This window comes from Homo sapiens, chromosome 10 (genome assembly GCF_000001405.40).
Source record: "Homo sapiens chromosome 10, GRCh38.p14 Primary Assembly".
Lineage (NCBI taxonomy): Eukaryota > Metazoa > Chordata > Mammalia > Primates > Hominidae > Homo > Homo sapiens.
Genome location: NC_000010.11, coordinates 27,671,426 through 27,685,527, shown reverse-complemented (window position 1 = coordinate 27,685,527; position 14,102 = coordinate 27,671,426). Strand labels below are relative to the sequence as shown.

The 14,102-nt window shown below is 40.7% G+C and overlaps 1 protein-coding gene across 7 annotated transcripts in view; it reads left to right on the top strand.

Moving 5' to 3' along the window:
• The window catches only part of MKX (mohawk homeobox), a 72,946-nt gene extending 60,292 nt beyond the window's left edge, over positions 1-12,654 (top strand). For 5 of the 7 annotated variants that reach the window (NM_001242702.2, NM_173576.3, XM_047425117.1 and 2 more), the window contains exons 6-7: positions 9,974-10,007; positions 10,113-12,654. In NM_001242702.2, the coding sequence (NP_001229631.1) occupies positions 9,974-10,007; positions 10,113-10,299 (221 nt within the window). In that variant the 3' untranslated portion in view covers positions 10,300-12,654. The remainder of the gene's footprint in view (positions 1-9,973; positions 10,008-10,112) is intronic. The other 2 variants (XM_017016108.2, XM_047425119.1) reach the window with 1 other exon arrangement.

The following is a 14,102-nucleotide window of genomic DNA, read 5'->3' as shown; positions in this document are numbered from 1 at the left end:
GCAGTGAGCCGAGATCGTGCCACAGCACTCCAGCCTGGGCAACAGAGCGGGACTCCGTCTCAAAAAAAAAAAAAAAAAAAAAAATCACTCTGCTGAAAGTATAAAGAAGATCTCAAGACAACTTACTTGAATTCCCTATTCTACAATCTGGACAGATTCCTTGATATTACATATTAAATCATAAGGAGAAAAAAATCTGGTTTTGGTCTCTTTGTGGTCTAATATCCTAGCAAAAAGTACAGAGAAAAGTTTAATCCATTTTTAATAGGTTCTGTTGCCATAGGCTTTCATATACAATGCATTAAGCCTTGCCATGGTCTTTGCAGGTGGCTTTATTGACAGAGGTTACTTGGATAATGCCATGCAGGGGTTAAAAACATGACCTTCAGGGCCAGGGCCAGGGGACCTGGCACTGAGTCTCACAGCTTGCAAAGATGCAAGTTCCTGGACCCCTCTAAGCTACAGTGTCATTTGTAAATAAGGGTGGTGGTGCTGTCACACAGGGTCATTGCAGGCATTTAACCAAATAACATTTGTATCGTTTCTGGCATAGTGTCTGGCATAGAATAAGCATTCAATAAATATTAACAGCAGCATTAGATTCTCATAGGAGCGTGAACCCTATTGTGAACTGTGCATACAAGGGTTGCGCACTTCTTGTGAGAATCTAACTAATGTCTGATGATTTGAGGTGGAATCGTTTCATCTCAAACCCCCCGCTCCCCGGTCTGTGGAAAAATCATCTTCCACGAAACCAGTCCCTGGTTGTTTTAAAGATAATTCCTTCTTGCAACATTTGCACTGCTTAATATTCAAGTTTAAGTTGGATGAAGCTGGATTTTGAATTCTTTCAGGCTGTTTCTATTTCACAGGCAAAATCCACTGCCACACTGGGAAAGGCCAAGGGGTAAATTATTGTCTTATTTATTAACAAAAGGTAAGGTGAACACAGAAGTTCAGTAGAAAATGCAGGTTATAACACATGTCCAGAATTATGCCTTTTTAAAAAATGTGTATAATACTTGTTTGGAAGGCCATACATTCAAATGTTAATATTAGTTATCCCTGATTGCCCCTTATTTTCTATTTTACACTTTTTCTTAGATTTTCTGCAGGGAAGCTGTATTACTTTCTTATTAAAGAAAAACAACAAATGCTATATTTATATATGTGTGTGTGTGTGTTTGTATATATATATATTTTTTTCTTTTTTGAGACAGGGTTTCACTCTGTCACCTAGGCCCAAGTGCAGTGGCATGATCTCAGCTCAATGCAGCCTTGACCTCCTAGGTTTGAATGATCCTCCCACCTCGGCCTTCCAAGTAGCTGGGACTACAGGCACACACCACCATGCCTGGCTAATTTTCAAAATTTTTAATAGACACGGAGTCTCAATATGTTGCCCAGGCTGGTCTCAAACTCGTGGGCTCAAGCAATCCTCCCACCTCGGTCTCCCAAAGTGCTGGGATTACAGGCATAAGCTGCTGTATCCAGCCAACAAATGCTATTTATAAAAAGAAAGAACTGTATAGTCACTGTAGAACCAATTTGTAGATGGGTATGGAAGCCCAGCTTCAGTCTCCAGGTATGGAGAAGTAGAGATGGAGACTGCAGCAATGTGAGCAGGGAGCCCTGGGGATTGCTTGTGAGCCCTGGGGGTCATTTGGTAAGGCACTGCAACTTCACAGCAATTGGTATTTCAGAATCTTCAGGGAGGTTTTATACCTGCCCTACTCACCAGAGTCTTGTTCTTATCCTCAGTTGTTCCAAGTATGTGAATAACTCCAGAAACTGATCTGGTATCCCCAGAGGCTCTCTGGACTTCTGAGGTCAGTAACACACTAGACGCAGGCTCTGCACACCTGCTATCAAAGTAATGGCCCCCAAACTTAATAGGTGTGCAGAAGCACAGTTTTCAAGCATCTGGAGCTCTGACTTGCTTTGGATCATTATCACAGGCCCCGGATTTTTAATTGCTCTGCAAGGGCACTAGGCCAGTCCTCATGAGCAAGGTGAATATAGCCATGTGTTGCTTAACAGCAGGGAAGTGCTCTAAGAAATGCAAGTGTATCATCAGGCAGTTTCATCATGTGCGAATCTCGTAGTGTGTACTAACACAAACCTAGACGGCATAGCCTTCTGCATACCGAGGCTGCATGCTGCAGCCTATTGCTCCTAGGCTACAAACCTGTACAGTAGATTGCTGTACTGACTACTGTAGGCAATCGGAACCAATGGTAAGCATTAAAAATATGTATCTAAACATACCTTCACATAGAAAAGACACAGTAAAATATGGTATAAAACAGGGGCCCCCCCATCCCCGGGCCACGGACCGGTAGTGGTCCAGGCTGCATAGCAGGAGATAAGCAGCTTCATCTGTATTTACAGCTGCTCCCCCATCGCTCACATTACCATCTGAGCTCCACCTCCTGTCAGATCAGCGGTGGCATTAGATTCTCCCAGGAGCGCAAAACCTATTGTGAACTGCGCATGTAGTTGTGCGCTTCTTTTTCTTTTCTTTTCTTTTCTTTTTTTTTTTTCGAGACCGAGTCTAGCTCTGTTGCCCAGGCTGGAGTGCAGTGGCACGATGAGATCTCGGCTCACTGCCACCTCTGCCTCCCAGGTTCAAGCGATTCTCTTGCCTCAGCCTCCCAAGTAGCTGGGATTACAGGTGACTGCCACCATGCCTGGCTAATTTTTGTATTTTTAGTAGAGACGGGGTTTCACTGTATTGGCCAGACTGGTCTCGAACTCCTGACCTTGTGATCCACCCGCCTCGGCCTCCCAAAGTGCTGTGATTATAAGCACGAGCCACTGCGCCTGGTCAGTTGTGCGCTTCTTTTGAGAATCTAACTAATGCCTGATGATCCGAGGTGGAACTGTTTTATCCTGAAACGCACCCCCATCCCTGGTCCGTGGGAAAATGGTCTTCCACAAAACCAGGCCCTGGTGCCAAAAAGGTTGAGGACCGCTAGTAAAAAATAAAAAATGATGCACTTGTGTAAGGCACTTACCATGAACAGAGCTTGCAAGGCTGGAAGTTGCTTTGGGTGAGTGAGTGAGTAAGTGAGTGGTGAGTGAATGTGAAGGCCTAGGACATTACTCTACATTACTGTAGACTTTATAAACACTGGACACTTAGGCCACCCTAAATTTATTTTAAAATTTTTTTCTTCTACAATAAATTAATCTTAGCTTACTGTTACTTTTTTACTTTATACGCTTTTTAAAAAAAGTTTTGACTCTTGTAATAACACTTAGCTTAAAACACAAACACATTGGACAGCTGTATGAAAATATTTTCTTTATATCCTATTCTATAAACTTTTTCCTGTTATTAAAATTTTTCATTTTTTATTTTTACTTTCTAAACATTTTTGTTAAAAACTAAGCCACAAACACACACATTAACCTAGGCCTGCACAGGGTAAGGCTCATCAATATCACTGTCTTCCACCTCCATGTCTTGTCCCACTGGAAGGTCTTCAGGGGCAATAACACGCATGGAGCTGTCATCTCTGATAATAGCAATGCCTTCTTCTGGAATTCCTCCTGAAGGGCCTGCCTGAGGCTGTTTTACAGTTAACTTTTTTTTTTTTTCTTGAGACGTAGTCTTGCTCTGTCACCCAGGCTGGAGTGCAATGGCACAATCTCGGCTCACTGCAACCTCTGCCTCTCAGGTTCAAGCAATTCTCCTGCCTCAACCTCCCAGGTAGCTGGGATTACAGGCACCCGCCACCAGGCCCAGCTAATTTTTTTGTATTTTTAGTAGAGACAGGGTTTCACCATGTTGGCCAGATTGGTTTCGAACTCCTGGCCTCAAGTGATTCCCCACCTCGGCCTCCCAAAGTGCTAGGATTACAGGCGTGAGCCACCATGCCCAGCTACAGTTAACTTTTTAAATCTAAGGTGAAGGAGCACACTCTCAAATAACAATAAAAAATATAGTAAACACATAAACCCAGTAACATAGTCATTTATTATTATCAAGTATTATGTACTGTATATAATTTATGTGCTATACTTTATACATTTAGCAGCTCAGTAGGTGTGTTTGTTTGTTTGTTTGTTTGTTTTGCGATGGAGTCCTGCTCTGTCACCAGGCTGGAGTGCAATGGCGAGATCTTGGCTCACTGCAACCTCCGCCTGCGGGGTTCCAGCAATTCTCCCACCTCAGCCTCCTGAGTAGCTGGGATTACAGGCATGCACCACCACGCCTGGCTAATTTTTTGTATTTTTTAGTAGAGACAGGATTTCACCATTTTGGCCAGGCTGGTCTCAAACTCCTGAACTCAAGTGATTCACCCGCCTCAGCCTCCCAAAGTGCTGAGATTACAGGCGTGAGCCACCACCCCCAGCCTCAGTAGGTTTCTTTACACCAGCATCACCACAAATACATGAGCAATGTGTGGCATGACCACATTACGATGTCACTAGGTGATAGGAATTTTTCAGCTCCATTATAATCTTATGGGCCACTGTCGTATGTATGGTTTGCCACTGACCGAATTATCGTTAGGTGGCGCACAACTGTACCTTCTTTTATTGTTTTAAAATATGAGTGGCTTCCTCTTCCCACTCAAATAATCCTAGTGGTCTGTCTTTGTTTTCCCCCTTGGCCGAGCTATTTCAGTAATGATTTCTCACTGACTCATTTACTTCCCTTTCCATGATCTCAAAAGTTTTTTTTCTTCTACTCCCTCCATTTTAATTTAGGGAAACATATATAATTTTTGGATTATTTAATTTAAAAACCTGAATTCTAAGTCTCACCTCATTTTACTTACGTTTCAGTGGCATCTGTGAAACAAAAACATTTTTCCCTTTACAGCTTATTTATTAAATTTTTTAAAAACCTCAGAGAAAAAGATTTGGCCACGTTTTGGTCTCTTTTTATGGCTACAAATATAACATCAGGAATATATATCAGAATTAATGTGCTTCTGAGTTGCATTTTTCACAGTTGGCCACAGAGCTTTTTGCTTAGCTATCTCAAGTTGCATTGGAACTGAGTTTTCTGTATAATTTTTTCTCTACTTAACTGTAGAAGGAAACACATGTCCAAACTGAGGATAGCCCCACTTTAAGTTTCAACATGGTTTGGGTTTTGCAGCATCCAAGATTTTCCTAACTACACACCTTTTTTTTTTTTTTTTCTTTTCTTTTCTTTTTTGGTCTTAAAACACGCTCTTTTGGCTGGTTCAGTAAGCTGTTCCTGCCAACCAGTTGCTTTTATGGTAATTGACAGTGTAGCTGATTTTTGGAACCTTGGAATCTAAAAAGGCATTTTAGCTCAGACTTTGGAGAGGCTGAGCCAAGCTACTTGCAGAGTAAGAGATATAGCCGAGCCAAATGTGGGGCAGTCAGACCCTGAGTCTGTGCATGCTAATGAACTGCTCTCAAGAGTCTACATACCAGGAGCTAGCTCCAACTTGCATTTTCCCTCTTTCACAACATGCACAATCCTTCCCTCTCCTGTCTGATTGTTTCTGGAGCTACTAGGTGCCACTTCTCGAGTGGAGCCGGTGAGACCACCTGTCAGCAGTGGACAGATGTGTCAGGACCCCTATGACCGCCAGTGGTGGGTACACAGACCCACTGCTCCTCAAATACTGACCATGAGCTGCAAAGACACAACACACAGCACACTTGAGCCAGAGAAGAGCTGATAAGTTTTTACTTCAAAGGGAAAGAGCATAAGAAAAAAAAATTACAACACTTAATACAACCAGTTAGTATAATGAGAAGATTGTAAATTTTCTGAATTCCCATCAAATGATATCAGTTCTCTAAAAGCTGCGACATTTCTCCAGATTTCATCTTAGCACAACAAATAGAAAAAAAAGAAACAACTCCCCAGACTCCCAGATCTTTAGAGTCCTTGCTTTCCTAAAAAAGCACAAATGTTTCAGAGTCAAAGGGCTCTGTTTGCTGTCTTCCTTTTGCCGGGTTGGCTATTCTGGGAACCAGAACACGTTACTCCACAGGAGGTGGCACTTGGACTCAAAATACCCTAGTGACACTGAGCAGCCCACCAGTAACAGCCTCAGGAAAAGCGTGCCCTTCTAACATCAATTCATTTTTTGAACTAAAATCACTTTGAACACAGAGACTGCCCACCCCCGGCCCTTCCCAAGTGGTGGTAAGCAGCTTTTCCTTGTTGATTTCAGTCTTTGAGATTGAGCTTTGTTGTATGCAGTTTTCACACTATTCTCCATTACTTTGTTTTTAATAGAAATTCTTTTTTTCATTGTATTATTCTTTATGTTCTAGGGTACATGTGCACAACGTGCAGGTTTGTTACATAGGTATACATGTGCCATGTTGGTTTGCTACACTCATCAACTTGTCATTTACATTAGGTATTTCTCCTAATGCTTTCCCTCCCCCAGCCCCCCACCTCCCGACAGGCCCTGGTGTGTGATGTAAGATGATTTTTTTCTGTTATTGGAGAGGAACCCAATCTATACCTACTGACATTGAATGTGCCCGTCTGCCTGAAGAATAAAATACAGAATTCAGTCTATTGAATCCTGTGTAGTACATTGCTGAGATTTGTAAAACCCAATTAAGAATACCTGAATGGGGACTTGAGTCTACGTTTTTGCACTTCAAAGGTATTTTCATAGGCACCAAAGTGTCAAACACATACACCCAAAGAGTAAGCAGAATTTTATAATTTCACAGTTGGCTGCAGTAAACGTGTTTCTCAGTGGAACAAGTTCAAGGAGTCAGCCACAGGGAGTGCTAGCTACAGCCAGGAGCTCATGGGGCTGCAAGACATACAAGTTGACTCCTCATCTTAAATAGAAGCTCTCCGTGGACCTGAGCCGTGAATTACATCTTCTCCTTCCACGTGCAGGCTCCATGCATTGATGGCATTGATACATTGACGGGTTCTGCAACCCATAACATATTTGATAGCCACAGGCTTTCTTCTTGTCTGTGCAGTAACCACTCTGAGATTGACAGTTCAGGTAGGGAACAGGGTTCTGGTCTCCTTCGCCTATGTGAGATGGCTTCATCTGGGAGCCAGAGTGTCAGTTACATAGTCTTCTCTAAATTATGTTTTGTTATTTCCCTAACGTTATTTAAGCCTCACGGAAATTATTCTGCTTTTGCCAAGTCTTTCCATTGAATAAATATCTCCATAACCTATTGCTTCACTTTGGCAACAGAATTGTTGCAATTTGTGGGCAAAACGGAGCAAAGGCCTAACTCATTTTTTTTTCCTCTGTAAAATGTCCAATTTGCTGGCTTTCCTTCTCCCAAACGAAAGCCTTGACTTGTTCTCTGTTCTGGTAGCGCCTTGTCTCTGTCCTTACTGAGTGAAGATTTACAGATAGGAGAATAGAACTCAATAAAAAATGACTTCGCAGATACTATGGAGACATGCTATCCATACACAAAGTCAGTAGTAGTAAATAAATTAGGACACAAAGTACTCAGAATTGTGCCTGGCACGTAGTAAGTGATCTGTAAATCAGCATATCAGAGTTCTGTAAATTACAAATGATCATTCTTTTCCTGCATTTACATGAGTTACTTTATATTGCAAAATTATGGAAAGTAGCAGAGGTATAGCTAAGCATCCAGGCTGACCCTGTAAGAGCCAGAAGCTGGCAGAGCTGCAGAAGGTAACGATCTAACTGTTCACAGATCCAATTATTTCCCCCAAAGGATCCCTAAAACCTTATAAAATGCTGCCTGAGTAGTCAGTGAAAGGAGACCAAAGGAACTAACACTTGTTGTTCCATTCTGGGCCAGACACACATGATCTCATGTGTTCTTCACAACAACCTTGCCATTTGTTCACTAAATCCTTTTGTTTTGTTTGTTCGCCTTGTTTATTTAAGTTCCTTACGTGAAGGGTTGTGAAAAGAGCTCAGAGTGACCCATGATTGTCTCGTGGTCTACACCTTAAGGCTTAACTCAGGATAGGTCAGCAGGCTTTCCCCATTCTTTTCCTTCAGAGAGGGCATCGAAGCTTGGCTGCCTCATGGGCATATAATTTATTTTCTCTTGACTATCTCTTCCTGGGAAATTTTGCCCTGGTTAGACTATATGACGATCATGTTGACGTTATTCTTCTCAGACCTCTTCTAGTTCTGTGACTGTCTTAGAGCTCAGAATTGGAAATTAGGTTGCATTTCCTAACTAGCCTTGAGCAGTGCAGAGAAAAAGAAATTGTGAGAAATATTGGGTTGGCAGGGGCAGGGGGCGTAAAAGGAAGGGAGAGGACTAAGGGCAGGAAAAGACAGTTTTGCAAAGGCCGTAGAACTAGCAGAGGGCCTTGCGTTTTCCAGGTTTCCTGTGTGCAGCACAGTGCCAAGTGCAGTAGCTCCCCAGTAACATTGATTATTGTTGTGGATGATGATGACGATGATGATGAAGAGGGGCTTACCCACTATCTGGTTTTGGAGTCTCAACCCCACTCCTTTGCTCGGATGCCATGCCAGTAGCCTCTCTCCTACCACCCTACATCTTTCCCTTCAGTAGGTAAATTTTTGTGTTACTCATACCAGATTCTTTTAGCCTAAGGAGCTTGAGAACCCATTTTCGTGGGTTCTTTATATTTATGTGGTGTTGGGAGACATTCGTGTTCTGAGTGAAGCAGCAAATCTAAACCAAAGATGTGAGTGCAGAAGCAAAAGCTAGCATCCTAACTTTCATTTCCTGCAGCAGCAGGAGGAGGCGTTGTTTTGGAAATTGAGGACCAATGCCTGCTTCTTCTAATAAATATGCCAGGAAATCCTGTATTGCTATCACCATTGGGTCCGTTACTCATTTGCTAACTAGCAGAGGGAACTATTTGCCCATCCTTTGTCTGAAATAAATGTTTGATAACTGGCCAGGCACGGTGGCTCACGCCTGTAATCCCAGCACTTTAGGAGGCTGAGGCAGGCTGATCACGAGGTCAGGAGTTCGAGATCAGCCTGATCAACATGGTGAAACCCTGTCTCTACTAAAAATACAAAAATTAGCCGGGCTTGGTGGCGGGTGCCTGTAATCCCAGCTACTTAGGAGCCTGAGGCAGAAGAATTGCTTGAACCTGGGAGGTGGAGGTTGCAGTGAGCCGAGATCACAGCACTGCACTCCAGCCTGGGCAACAGAGCAAGCCTCCATCTCAAAAAAAAAAAAAAAGAAAAAGAAAAAAGAAAATTTGATAACCATGAAATTATAGAATCATTGAGCCAGAAGCACCCCCAAGATTTTCTAGAACCCCCCCCTTTTTTATTTTAATTTTCTTAGAGACAGGGTCTTGCTCTGTTGCCCAGGCTGGAGTGCAGTGGCACAATCACTGCTTACTGCACCTTCACCCCCCTGGGCTCAAGCAATCCTCCCACCTCAGCCTCCTGAGTAACTGGGAATATAGGTGAACACCCACCATACCCAGCTATTTTTATTTTTATTTTTAGTAGAGATGAGGTCTCACTATGTAGCGCAGGCTGGTCTCGAATTCCTAGGCTCAAGCAATCCCCCGCCTTGGCCTCCCAAAGTGCTGGGATTACAGATATGAGCCACTGTGCCCAGCCAAAGCTCCCTGATTTTATAGTTAGAGAACTGAATCCCTGACATTGTGGGAGGTCATAATCTGCCCCCAGGTTACACTGCAAGTGGGTAGTAGGGCAAGGCCAGAACCTGGCCCCAGGTACAGTCAGCACTCTTTTCCTTATGCTGTTTGTCTCCTGATCCAAAAGGCCCAATTTCTCAGAGTAAATAACTTCAGATTTTTGTGTATCTATGAGAGCTACCTTTTATTCTTTACTACCCACTGTCATCTTACTTCTGCCCCTTTGCAATTTTTTTTGCATCTTAATATAAACTGCTTTATCTTTATTAAAAGCGAACTAATTTTCAACCATATTTCCTGAAGAACTTTTACTTCTGGTCATTAGTGATGAAACTCCTGAGATGAGAAAAGAAAGGAAAAACATAAAAATAATTGAATTTTTGCTTTTCTTTACAGACACTCTGGAAAACGGATCCAATAAGGGTGAAAGGTGAGCAAAATGTTCCCATTGGCCGTTCCTGCTTTTCAGCGATGGCATTTTCAATGCAAACTGCAGTGAGTTTGATCGTTTACTTTCTGTTTTGCTTAACTCCAGCGCAGCTAACAGAAAAGGACCAAGCAAGGATGACACGTATTGGAAGGAGATCAACGCAGCTATGGCCTTAACAAATCTTGCACAGGGAAAGGACAAACTGCAGGGAACTACCAGCTGCATCATCCAGAAGTCGTCCCATATAGCAGAAGTAAAGACTGTCAAAGTGCCGCTGGTGCAGCAGTTTTAAGAGCTTGTTGCTTTTCAGATCCAATGGATGTTCTTTCCGGTGTTTTCATCAACCCTCATCCTAAGAGCCGAAGCAGGGATGAAAATGACTCTCTCCCAAACCTCTTCTTATTTTTAATTATCCCAAATATATCATTTAGTTGCTTCTATAAAAGACATATAAATTATAAAAAACTCATTTTAATCAAAAATATTAACTTATTTTATGTTACTCAAACTATGCATAAAACATCTGCATTACCATTACAGTAAGTGCCTTGCTTCCCGACAATAAGCTCCAACGTGGGCATAGTTGAACAAGCTATGCCTCAAAATGCCAACGCCATATGCTTATTAGCCTGTGTGCATCATTCCAGACGGGCCTAATCATTCCAGGACTGAAACCAGAATCGCTGAAAGCCCTTGAAATACATTCAATAATTCATATGTTAAAACTTGGATATCTGTTCAGCCCAAATGAAATCTTCCTTTTAAAAAACGTCTACATTATTGAAAATTGTTCAATGTGCTTTTCAGAGTGACGGTGAGAATTTTATGCATGTATCTTGCCTGCATATTTGATATGTTACAAACTTCCAAAATTCAAGGTGCAGCGATCCACAGAACGTTGTACATTTAAGAAGTGATTCCTTCAAGCTAATTTAAAATTTCATTGAACACATGGTGACCAGGAAAACTTTTTTTCAAGCACTGTTGGAAAGCACCACAAAGCCCTTTAGAATTAATCTGGATTTGTTTCTCAAGTTCTGCTGAAGTTTAAAAAAAAACTTTATTATACAAATAACTCAAAATTTTCCTGTGTAAAACTAAACCTGTAGTTTTAAAACATAATCCTGTTTGCATTAGAGCTCACTGTCTTTTTGTGATGGAAACTGTGTTCGTATGGAATGACTAAAAATCTTTTATTTGGTTTGTTTCAAATTACAATTGCTGATGGACAATTTGTATTGCAGCGAGAACAACAGAATGAAAGAAATGTATCTCTGTGCGGCTATACATATACATACATAAAATTGATTTTTAAATTTAAAACATATGGAAAACAAAACATTGAACAGTTTGAATTTTGCCAAGTTGGACATTAAAGTAAAAATGAAGTGAAATCATGCATTGAAAGAAAACATTTTGTTTCTAAATTAGTCTACCATTGAGTGAGAATAATCAATATCAAGAAAGAAGACTATCTTTCTCAACTAAACAATAATATTCCAATCAGCTTGGGAAGACCTGAAACTTGAATAAGCAGTGGAAATGCCAAATATAACAGAGGGTATGTGCTACAGAGAAGTAAAAAGGGTTTGACTTTTTATGATGGGATTTTTTTTTTCTGGGTATGTAATCTATTTTTTTTTTAAACTGGAAAGCATTTTTGTCAGTGTGAATGAGGGTCAATAGTGCAGCCAGTGGTGACATTTTTCTTTATTTTGCAAAATGCTTTTAAAACCAAAGGCTGCTCTAGTTGATGGACAGTATCAGTCTTGATCTAAATTGTAGGACACTTTTTCATGTAACATAACATTTGGGGATTGGGTTTATTTAGTGTAATGAAGATAATTTGATATAAAAATATTTTGTGTATATATATATATTTTTACTTTGTTTTCTAAATTGCTGTTTGCAGTAACAGTAAGCGCAAAGCAAAATATATAAGTTATGACTGTATGATCAGATGAAGTATGAGTTCTTTTGGTTTGCATCCTTAAATAGTTAGAGATCTCTGATAAAAACTTTGGAATCTTTGCAAAACAATACAAAAATGCCAAAATGTGAGCATGTCAATGAAAACTAAAGACAAATACTTCACTCTTTTTCATACTATTATAAGTTATTCTGGTATTAAATATGTTAATAAAAGTGTTTTTGTTTTGACATATTTCAGTTAAATGAATGAATGCTGGTTGTATTTTATTTGAATGAGTCATGATTCATGTTTGCCATCTTTTTAAAAAAATCAGCAAATTTCTTCTATGTTATAAATTATAGATGACAAGGCAATATAGGACAACTATTCACATGATTTTTTTTAATACCAAAGGTTGGAAGATTTTATAATTAACATGTCAAGAAGACTTTATAGTAAGCACATCCTTGGTAATATCTCCAATTGCAATGACTTTTTAATTTATTTTTTCTTTTGCTGCTTTAACATTTTCTGGATATTAAAATCCCCCCAGTCCTTTAAAAGAATCTTGAACAATGCTGAGCCGGCAGCTGAAAATCTAACTCATAATTTATGTTGTAGAGAAATAGAATTACCTCTATTCTTTGTTTTGCCATATGTAATCATTTTAATAAAATTAATAACTGCCAGGAGTTCTTGACAGATTTAAAATAAAAGTTAATTTCTAGACCTCGATGATCGTATGGATTTTGTTTTCCTTTGAGAGCTGACCAGGTAGATGAAGCAGTAGAACAGACGGGCCCATTATATTCAGCAATTCTCCTTAGACTGTTAAGGGATATGATATGGGAGTGCTGCATTTGTATTAGGTTTGAATTTCATCACCTTAGGCCACCAATCCAGCTTTCAAAGACTGAGGAAAAGGGAGTGTGATGCCGACTATTAAAATACCTAACTTTAAAATGAACATTTTCAGGTAATACCTTCTTTCCCTCACTAATACAATTAGCATTATTTGTGGTGTGCTCTGCACTGGAGAGAAAACCTTGGCTTTGAAGCTAGACAGAACTACCTTTGAATCTCAGCTCTGTCCCTTACTACTTAGTCATTCTTATCTAGTTTCTTCATCTGCAAAGTGGGAGTAAGGAGCTATACCTTGTAGGGTTTGCACTAAGATTGAGATAAAATGCAATACATAAAGTGCCTACCTCAGTGTCTGTCAGATAATAGGTGCTTGGTAACTGGAACATATTATTGCATAGTTACAATTCCTCTATTCAGGCTTTATGCACAAGAAAGTAGAAATATTTAAAATAAATGGAACATAAGACATGGGTAGTTTAATGGACAGCTGTAGAGAGGGAGAGATGCCTGACAAGAAAAGCTGCTGTGCAATGGTGAAAATTGGTATCAGAGTTAGAAAGGCCTTCAAGGAAGATCATTTTAGCATCATCACTTAAAACTTCCAGGCAAAAAGCATAAAGCGTTGCGAAGCCAAGGCAGAACAGACATTCCAACAGAAAACACGATATGTGCTGTCACTTCCTTCTTTGGGATAAACAAGAATTGCTTTCCCTCTGTTTGTCCTGCTTGATACTGTTCAAGATGGCTAAGAAAAACTCAAGCTGCTGCCTGTGTTCTCCGTCTGCTCCAAGTAGCAATGTTTAACAAACAGTGGCAACAGCCATAGCCTGCTTTTAAACTTATCCAGCTCAGTGGTGTCACAGCATGCAAATAAACACAGAGAAGAAGAGCAAGCCACCCATGCTGTCCTGCCAGGGATGGCATAGGAAAGTCATGCCTTGGAAGGCGGTGTGTTGTGGTGGTAAGAACCTGGGCTGGCATGCTCTGGCTTTGCTACTTCACTTCTTAGTACCTTTGGGAAATAAGCATAAGCCTTCTTTCTATACCCATTGTTTGCACCTATAAAATTAGACCTGTGAAATTTACCTACTCCAACGATCTGTTGTGGGGAGTCAATGAGGCAGTCGATATAAAAGCACTTCGCAAACTGCATGGCACTGTACAAATGTTAGCGATTATGACCGTATTCCACGCAGCCCTAAAAGGCCTCATGTCTCACACTTTCTGGCACTGTAAACTGTAGTTTCCATGAAGCATATAGGACCCCTAGATTCTGTCAAATGTGTGTTAGGGTCACCATCATTGGGTCCTTGTGAGCA